The sequence below is a fragment of the Homo sapiens genome, chromosome 12, assembly GCF_000001405.40.
Source record: "Homo sapiens chromosome 12, GRCh38.p14 Primary Assembly".
NCBI classification, from domain to species: Eukaryota; Metazoa; Chordata; class Mammalia; order Primates; family Hominidae; genus Homo; species Homo sapiens.
The window spans coordinates 2,838,092-2,847,391 of record NC_000012.12 but is presented as its reverse complement, the minus strand read 5'-3'; the positions used below and the strand labels follow the sequence as shown (position 1 = coordinate 2,847,391).

At 48.4% G+C, this 9,300-nt stretch overlaps 1 protein-coding gene across 1 annotated transcript in view, besides 2 other annotated features; it reads right to left on the bottom strand.

The window, feature by feature from the left end:
- ITFG2 (integrin alpha FG-GAP repeat containing 2) overlaps window positions 1-9,300 on the bottom strand; it is a 47,124-nt gene that overhangs the window by 12,400 nt on the left and 25,424 nt on the right. The gene's annotated exons all lie outside the window — the stretch shown is intronic.
- Window positions 592-1,577: an enhancer, noted in NCBI's record as "H3K4me1 hESC enhancer chr12:2954981-2955966 (GRCh37/hg19 assembly coordinates)". NCBI's record gives its function as "activates a minimal SCP1, AML or CMV promoter by ChIP-STARR-seq in primed H9 embryonic stem cells {active_cell/tissue: H9 hESC(primed)}" and the evidence as "EXISTENCE:reporter gene assay evidence [ECO:0000049][PMID:30033119]".
- Window positions 1,578-2,565: an enhancer, noted in NCBI's record as "H3K4me1 hESC enhancer chr12:2953993-2954980 (GRCh37/hg19 assembly coordinates)". NCBI's record gives its function as "activates a minimal SCP1, AML or CMV promoter by ChIP-STARR-seq in naive H9 embryonic stem cells {active_cell/tissue: H9 hESC(naive)}" and the evidence as "EXISTENCE:reporter gene assay evidence [ECO:0000049][PMID:30033119]".

The window sequence follows — 9,300 nt, the reverse complement described above, 5'->3', positions numbered from 1 at the left end:
CCACCGCGTCTGGCCGGGAGTTACTGTTTAATGGGTACAGGGTTTCTGTTGGGGATGATGATGACAAAGTTCTGAAAACAGACAGTGGTGATGACAGCACAACATTGGGAAGGGACCACCTCATGCCACTGATTTGTGTACTTATGAATGATTAAAAGGTAAATGTTATGATATGTATATTTTACACATTAAAATTTTTTTTAAAAGAATACATGTTACAACATGGATAAACCTTGAAAACATTATGCTAAATGAAAAAAGCCAGACACAAAAAGCCACATATTATATGACTGCATTTACATGAAATGTCTAGAACCTGCAAAGCCACAGAGCTGGAAGGTGAATGGATGCTTCCCAGATGCTGGAGGAGGGGAGAACTGAAAATATTTTTGAACTAGATAGGGGTAGTGGTTGCACAACACTGTGAATATATGAAAAGCCACTGAAGTGTACGTACACTTTAAAATGGTAAATTTTGTGTTATGTGAATTTCATCTAAATTAAAAATAATGTAATACATCGAACTCTTGTAGAGCGTTTCTCAGTTTCCTTCTAACGCCATGTCCGTGATTGTCTTACATGGTCCTTCTCTTTGCTCCTCTCTGCTTGGTGTATGTGAGTCTATGTGTGACGGGGTGTGTGAGAGCAGAATTGAGGGGTGAAGGAGCGTTTCCTGAGTGCTCCACGGGAGTGCCAGGGCTCTGGGAATTTACCCAATCTCCTCACTCTGGACTGGGAATGAGGGTGGAAAGGAGGGTTCCCTTTACATAGGATCCAAAAATGTCAGAGCTGGGCAGGCCATTAGAAAACACGCCTAACAACCTCAGACTTCAGATGGGCAAAGTGAAGCCCGTCGAGAAGTGACTTGCTCCGGACCACAAAGCCAGGCAGCCTCCTGGCGAGAGGACGGGAGGGGTGTGCTGGAGCGGGGACTGCAAGGCCTGGGCTACCATCTGCTTCTCGGGCTACTTGCCACCTCACAGCGAGAGGCCCTGGGCATGGTTAGAGGGTGGGCAAGAAGATTTAGGGAGTGGGAGGAAGAAAGCCATTGGGATTCTTGAAAACAAGCTGCCTACTCTCTGGCCTTAAGCTAGGGGCGGGCAGAAAGGAAGCTGCACTCACACAGGCTCCTGCCCTGGCAGACCCTGCCCACCCAGAAGCTCCCAGCCTCTAGTCAGGACTTCACCCCGCCCCACCACCTTCCAGCCCTGCTCTCCGGAACAGCCTCTGCTCTGCAGCAGTATCCAGGCTCTCTTGTTCATCGGCCAGAGACACAGAAGTAAGGCTTCTGGCGCCCCCTAGCTCCAGCAGGCCATGGGGGTCTGCGGGGCAGCAATAGCAAGCACGCGACCTTCCGGGCCTGGGGACCCTAACGAGGCAACCCCCAGCCAGGCAGGTGCAGTGGTGTGCACCTGTAGTCCCAGCTACTTGGGAGGCTGAGGCAGGAGGATCGCTTGAGCCCAGGAGTTTCAGACCAGCCTGGGGAATACAGTGAGACCCTAACTCAACAAAAAAAAGAAAAAGAAAATCACCCCAGCTCAGCCTACATACACTTGGCTGGCAAGCATGAGCAACCTCCTTACTCCATCCCCACACACGAATGAACCTAGAGGTCCTGAAAGCCTTTGGTGGGGTGGGGTGGGGGGAATCTCTGTATCTGTATCTGCCTAAAGATCCACTCTTTCACCACAGCTGGAGTGCAGCTCTGAGAGGGAGGCAGGGGTGAAGGTATGGACACCCCTTTCCCCCACATACTTCACTCCCCAGAACACCCTGTGCCCTGCTGAATGCCACCAGCTTCACGGACAACAGTTAATCCCAGCAAAGGAAGTCTTCCCAGCCATTTCCGGGCCAAAAACTCCCCTCCCTCCACCTCCCCCTTTCCAAGCCTGATCTTGGTGTCATGACCTGAGCTGCTGACGCAAGTTCCTGAGCTGCTGGGAGCTTGAGGAATGGCTGGGGCCAGGGAGTCGGGAAGCTGTGGGGACTGGGAACCCCTGGGGGACCATACAGGGCCACCCACGTTGCCAGTCATGCCCTGCCAGGGTTGTCTCATCTAATTACCATGCCTCAAAAAGCCCCATAGCTGCTCCTTGAGATGACAAACTCGAGCCAAGATCCCCTCTGCAGACAGTCCCCACCCAACTCACTTTCCAGCTTCCCTGCGACCCTCCAGCCTTCATTCCAACTCATCGCTGCCTCACTTGCTGGGAGCCCCTTGTCTTCATGCCTCTTTTCCATCACTGAGCCCTGTCCTTAGTTGTGCTGCCACCGAGCCGCACACATTTGCTCTTTTCATTACACAGTGTCAATAGTGGCTGCTGCCCACCTGCCATCACAGGTAGCGGTTCCCGTGGCTCTTCACATAGCTGCTCCACTTATGTTAGTCCCAAGCCAGTTCATTCCCTGCCAGTCCCAGGGCAGAGCCTCACGAACGCCTCCACGCTTGTAAAGAATGTGGCTGCATCTTGCCATTGTCCAAATTCCAAGACAGGAATTTCGATGTGTGGCTTCCCTTAGACCACACTTATGTTTACTGGGTGTTTATGGAACGTTGACACTAGGTATCATGACATGGTTCCCAAACAATAGTCAGTGACTTCTTTAGTCTGAGTATCACTAGGAAGGGGAGGTCGTGTCCAAGGGTGCCAAGTGCAGGCCCACAGCTTAGGCAAGGAGGAGGGAAAAATACAGGGGAATGGAAGCGGGAAATAAAAAAGATAAACAAAGAGGGAGGGACAGGAGTGCTGAAGGTAGGTCCTGTATGATTTCCACCTTGGAGATACTAAGCTGAGGCATACAGTTTACTATTATTTAATTTATTATAATTATTATTTTGAGACAGGGTCTTGCTCTGCTGTCCAGGCTGGAGTGCAGTGGTGTGATATTGGCTCACTGCAACCTCTGCCTCCTTGGTTCAGGTGATTCTCCTGTCTCAGCTTCCCAAGTAGCTGGGATTACAAGCGCACACCGCTATGCTCAGCTAATTTTTGTATTTTTAGTAGAGACAGGGTTTCGTCACATTGGACAGGCTGGTGTCGAACTCCTGACCTCATGTGATCCGCCCACCTCAGCCTCCCAAAGTGCTGCGATTACGGGCATCAGCCACCATGCCCAGCCTTATTTTATTTTTTTTGAGACAGGGTCTCACTCTCACCCACGCTGGAGTGTAGCTGTGTGATCTCAGCTCATTGCAACCTCTACCTCCCAGGCTCAAGCAATCCTCCCACTTCAGCCTCCTGAGTAGCTGGGACCACAAGCGTGTGCCACCATGCCTGGCTATTTTTTTTTGTATTTTTAGTAGAGATGGGGTTTCGCCATGCTTGCCCAGGCTGAACTCCTGGGCTCAAGAAGTCCTCCCTCTTTGGCCTCCCAAAGTCCTGGGATTACAGGCGTGAGCCACCATGCCTGGCCTAGTTTACTACTTTTTGCTATTCTGTCTCATTCAAACTTCGCACCAACTCTACAGATTATGTGTTATTTCATTTTTACAGATGAAGAAACAAATGCCAAAAGATTAAGCACTTCACCCCAGGTCACCCAGCTAGTACAGGGACAGAGTTGGAACTTTTTTTTTTTGAGATGGAGTCTCGCTCTGTCACCCAGGCTGGAGTGCAGTGGCACGATCTCAGCTCACTGCAACCTCCACCTCCCGGGTTCAAGTGATTCTTCTGCCTCAGCTTCCTGAGTAGCTGGGACTATGGGCGCACGCCACCATGCCCACCTAATTTTTGTATTTTTAGTGGAGACTGGGTTTCCCTATGTTGGCCAGGTTGGTCTCGAACTCCTGACCTCAGGTGATCCACCCACCTCGGCATCCTTAAGTGCTGAGATTACAGGCATGAGCCACCATGCTCGGCCATGAGTTGGAACTCTTGATCAGGCCCCTCTGAGTTCACCATGCCATGCTCAGGCTGCTTTCATCAACAGAGCCAAAGCACTTGACCTCTTCGTGCCTTGGTTTTGCCATCCATGAAACAGGAAAATAATCCTAGCGTCAGAAATATAAAATGTTGTCCTTGCCTGGCAGCCTTTGGAAGATCCACCTCTTTGGGATGGCAGTAGGGAGGTGTGCTCTCCTGGCAGCACGGGCTGCCTGCGGCCCTTGCTGGACAGGAGAATTCTGGAAAACAACTTCATTCCTGTCTTCAGTAGATCTGACAGGCCCAGAGGAGAAAGCCTGAAATAGAAACTGGCTGCCCTTAACCCTCCACGGGTTCAAGAGAGCTGTTTGTCTAGCTCTGAATAACCCATTCTATAAAGAATATTCCGGGAATTTCCTTATGTGGCAGGGCACTGGACTGGGTGATTTCACTGGGCCAGAGGAGCTCTCCTCTCCATCCCCACCAGCAGAGACAAGAATTGGCACTATTCAGCCTTGAGGAAAGAATGTTGAAAAGATGGAAAGATCTCTGAAGGCATGAACGGCTATGACAAGGAAGGTGGGATACAGTTCATCTCTATCTCTGCTAGGCTTGGATAAGAGGGCATGAACTTTGAATATAGCCACCAGGACTTAGATTAAAAAAGAACTTCCTGAGAGAATTGAGATTCTATCAGGAAAGAGGAAAGGAGCTGTAGAATCTATTTAGATCAGGGCTGTCCAACAGAAACATAATGGAGCAACATCTATAATTAAAATTTTTTGTTTGTTTGTTTTGAGACAGGGTCTCACTCTGTAACCCAGGCTGGAGTGCAATGGCATGATCTTGGCTCGCTGTAGCCTCTACCTCCTGCGCTCAAGCAATTCTCCTGCCTCAGCCTCCCGAGTAGCTGGAACTACAGGCGCATGTCACTATGCCTGGCTGAATTTTTTTTTGTAGCGACGAGCTCTCACTATGTTGCCCACACTGGTCTTAAACTCCTGGCCTCAGGTGATCGTCTTGCCTTCCAAAAATGTGGGATTACAGGCTTGAGCCACCACACCCGGCCTAAAACATTTCTTACTTTTTTTAAAAAAAAAGGAAACAAGGCTGGGCGTGGTGGCTCATGCCTGTAATCCCAGCACTTTGGGAGGCCGAGGCGGGTGGATTACGAGATCAGGAGATCAAGACCATCCTGGCTAATATGGTGAAACTCTGTCTCTACTAAAAATACAAAAAAATAGCTGGGCGTGGTGGCACATGCCTGTAGTCCCAGCTACTTGGGAGGCTGAGGCAGGAGAATCCCTTGAACCCAGGAGGCAGACGTTGCAGTGAGCCGAGATCGTGCCACAGCACTCCAGCCTGGGCAACAGAGCAAGACTCCATCTCAAAAAAAAAAAAAAAAAAAGAAACAAGTGAAATTAATTTTTATTATTACATTGTTATTATTATTATATTATTGTTTTTATGTATTTTATTTAACCCAATAGATCAAAAATATTATCAATATGGGGCCACACACAGTGGTTCATGCCTGTAATCCCAGCACTTTGGGAGGCTGAAGGGGGTGGATCACGAGGTCAGGAGATCGAGACCATCCTGGCCAACATGGTGAAACCACATCACTACTAAAAAGACAAAAATTAGCCGGGCGTGGTGGCGGGCGCCTGTAGTCCCAGCTACTCGGGAGGCTGAGACAGGAGAATCACTTGAACCCAGGAGGCGGAGGTTGCAGTGAGCCGAGATCATGCCACTGCACTCCAGCCTGGGTGACAGGGTGAGACTCTGTCTCAAAGAAAAAAAAAAAAATCAATATAAAGTAATGCAATCAATTAGAAAATAATTCATGAGATGTTTCACACAGGTTTTTGTATTGTTTTCAAAATCCAGCGTGTGGTTTAACTTGCAGCATATCTCAGTTCAGATTGGCCACATCTCAAGGGCTCAATAACCATATATGTCTAGTAGTTACTGTATCAGACAGCATGAGTTTAGGATCACCAATAACTGTCTGACACCCAGTGGTAAATGCAAGGTGTGGTCTGGTTTTATCTAAAGACAGAAAGTGTTTTAGGAGGCCTTTGTGCCTGAGGGCTTATCAAGCTGGAAGGCCAAGGGAGCCTTCCTTTTTAAGCCCTTCTCTGCCCCTTCATCATTGCTAGAAATACAAAAACACCAGAGCCCTCTGGCGAGTCTGAGAACGCACTCAGTGGTACTCCGTGATCTCCGTTCTGCAGAGGGAACCCAGGGTCTGGCAGCCTAACAGATTCAGTGGGATGGGCACTATGCCAGGGTGACTGAGCAGCGGGATCCAGGACAAGGGCTTGCTCGTGGTATAGACAAGTTAACCCTATTCTCTCCATAGCAAGAGATGACGTTCTGTACTGCAGCCAGTCTGTTGTTAGCAGATGTGAGTGACTAGCCATAGGAGGAGACGGGCCTGACAGAGGGGATGGAGAAAGGCCAGTCCACCCCCTTGCCCCAGGCGGGTTTGGGGACATAAGAAGGACAATCCCAGACTACCCTGTCTTACCTGCACTCTTCCCTGTGTCTGTGGCACTCCTCCAGGTGTCTGCATGGCCCTCTCCATAGTGACCTATGTGTAAATGTCATCGCTTCTAAAAGAGCCACTCTGCCCAGCTCAGCTCCACCACTTTCTCTTCTTACCCTGCTTTTTTCTCTTTTTTCTACAAAAAAAAAAAATTGTATTTGGATTTTATTTAGAATTTTATTTATTTATTTTGAGACGGAGTCTTGCTCTGTCACCCAGACTGGAGGGCAGTGGCGTGATCTCAGCTCACTGAAAGCTCCGCCTCCCGGGTTCACGCCATTCTCCTGCCTCAGCCTCCCGAGTAGCTGGGACTACAGGCGCCCGCCACCTCGCCCGGCTAAGTTTTTGTATTTTTAGTAGAGATGGGGTTTCACCGTGTTAGCCAGGATGGTCTCAATCTCCTGACCTCGTGATCTGCCTGCCTCGGCCTCCCAAAGTGCTGGGATTACAGGCATGATATTTAGAATTATATTGAGTTTATGGACAAATTGGGGAAGAAATTAAATCCTTTTTTTTTTTTTTGAGACAGAGTCTCGCTCTGTCTCCCAGGCTGGGGTGCAGTGACGTGATCTCGGCTCACTTCAACTTGATCCACCTCCCGGTTTCAAGCGTTTCTCATGCCTCAATCTCCCGAGTAGCTGGGACTACAGGCATGAGCCACCACACCCAGCTAATTTTTTTTTGTATTTTTAGTAGAGACGGGGTTTCACCATGTTGGCCAGGCTGGTCTTGAACTGCTGGCTTCAGGTGATCCACCCACCTCGGCCTCCCAAAGTGCTGGAATTATAGGCGTGAGCCACTGCGCCCGGCCATCTTTATATTGAACCTTCCTACTCATGAACTTGGTAGATCTTGCCCTTTTTTTTTTTTTTTGGTTAGATTCAGGGGGCACATGTGCGGGTTTGTTAGAAGGGCACAGTGCATGGTGCTCAGGTCTGGGCTTCTCTTGATCCTGTCACTCAGAGAGTGACCACAGTACCCAACAGGAAGTTCTTCAGCCCTAGCTCCTCTTTCCTTCCTCGCTTTTGGAGTCTCCAGTGTCTGTTGTTCCCATCTTCGTGTCCATTTGTACTCATTGTTTAGCTCCCGCTTATAAGTGAAAACACGCAATATTTGGTTTCCTGTTTCTGTGTTAATTTGCTTAGGATAATGTCCTCCAACTGCATCCATGTTGCTGCAGAGGACATGATTTTGTTATTTTTTATGGCTCCATACTATTCCATGGTGTATTTTCTTCAGCACTTACCACCACCTGAGGTTATAAATTTAGTTGTTCATTATCTACCTGTTCCATTAGAATGTGAACTCCATGAAGGCAGGGACCTCATCTGGCTCTCCACTGTACACCCAGGGCCTAGCTCAGCGTCCAGTACATAGTAGGCGCTCAATAACTACTTTTTTCTGAATGAAAAAAAACTTCATTCATAGAAGAACCAATGCAGCGAAGGAGCCATATTTATCACTTTCATTTTTTCTCTCAGCATTTCTGAATTTAGATCCATTCACTTCAGAGAATAACAGACATTTTCCAAGTGTTTTGGACGAGAATACGCTCACTTCTTCTACTCCTAACGGTTCAGAATTGCTTAATCTTCCTGAATAGTTGGACGAAGTTTCTTCCCCCTCTGTCTCATTATTAGAGACCAATGGAGTTATTCCTTGTTGATTAATTATTTGGTTTTTTTTTGAGCCGGAGTTTCACCCTGTCACCCAGGCTGGAGTGCAGTGGCATGATCTCGGCTCACTGTAACCTCTGCCTTTCAGGTTCAAGTGATTCCCCCACTTCAGCATCTGAGTAGCTCGGATTACAGGCATGCGCCACTATGCCTGCCTAATTTTTGTATTTTTAGTAGAGACAGCGTTTCACTACATTGGTTAGGCTGGTCTCGAACTCCTGACCTCAAGTGATCCACCTGCCTCAGCCTCCCAAAGTGCTGGGATTACAGGCATGAGCCACTGTGCCCAGCTAAATTGTTTTTTTTTTTTAATTCTCTGTTAGGTAAAAAAGTTATGAGGGGAGGAGACTGAGCTGTCATGGGCAAGGCCGGGCCGCTCGCCTAGCCTCACAACACTCCCCACATTCTTCACTATCACAGCAAAGTGGTGTCTACAGTCCTGCAGAAAGGCCTCAGAGCTTTATATTGCTAGAACAATATATCCCACTCTTCTGGCAATCTGGGGGAAGGGCAGAGACTATGCCTTGTATTTACAAAGGAAGAAACCAAGAAACACAAAAAGGCAAGAGAGATTCTCCTTACTGCGGAGTCTGCCCCAAGATGGCAGTGAGACAGTACTTGCTTGGGTTACAGAACACAGGGGCCAACTCTCTCCCTACTCCACAGCTACATTCCAGAGAATGGCATTTTCGGAGCACAAGTGGTTTCCAGGGCCAGGCAACAAAGGACTTATCAGACTAACTGGAAGAGAGAAGCTGATGTCCCCAAACCCACTCCAAACTCCAAACTCCAAAGTCTCCATTCTATGCCCCAGGCACATTTACTCTTCCCTGGAGTGCAGTGTACAGACCTGAGCTCACTTGAGAGCCTGGGACAGCCCATCCATGTTGGCAGGCTGGCTCCCTAGAGCCAGCCATCTCATCCTTGTGAGTTGATAATTTAGCACAACTCCCCCAAAGGATGCATTAGTAAAGGACTCTTGAAGATGCTGAAGAATTTTCAAACCAAAGGAATGAATTGCTAAGAATAAAGTAAGTTGGAGGAGATGCTTTTCAGCTTGGGGCCTGCCCAGCATCACGCTGTGTGTCACTCAATAATCTATCAATTATAGATTATAGTTAATCCTGTTGAAATGACTACAGGAACCCAGCAAAACATGCCAGAGGATCCTCTTTGACCTCTATCCCAAGCAAACATATGGTGGTAATGG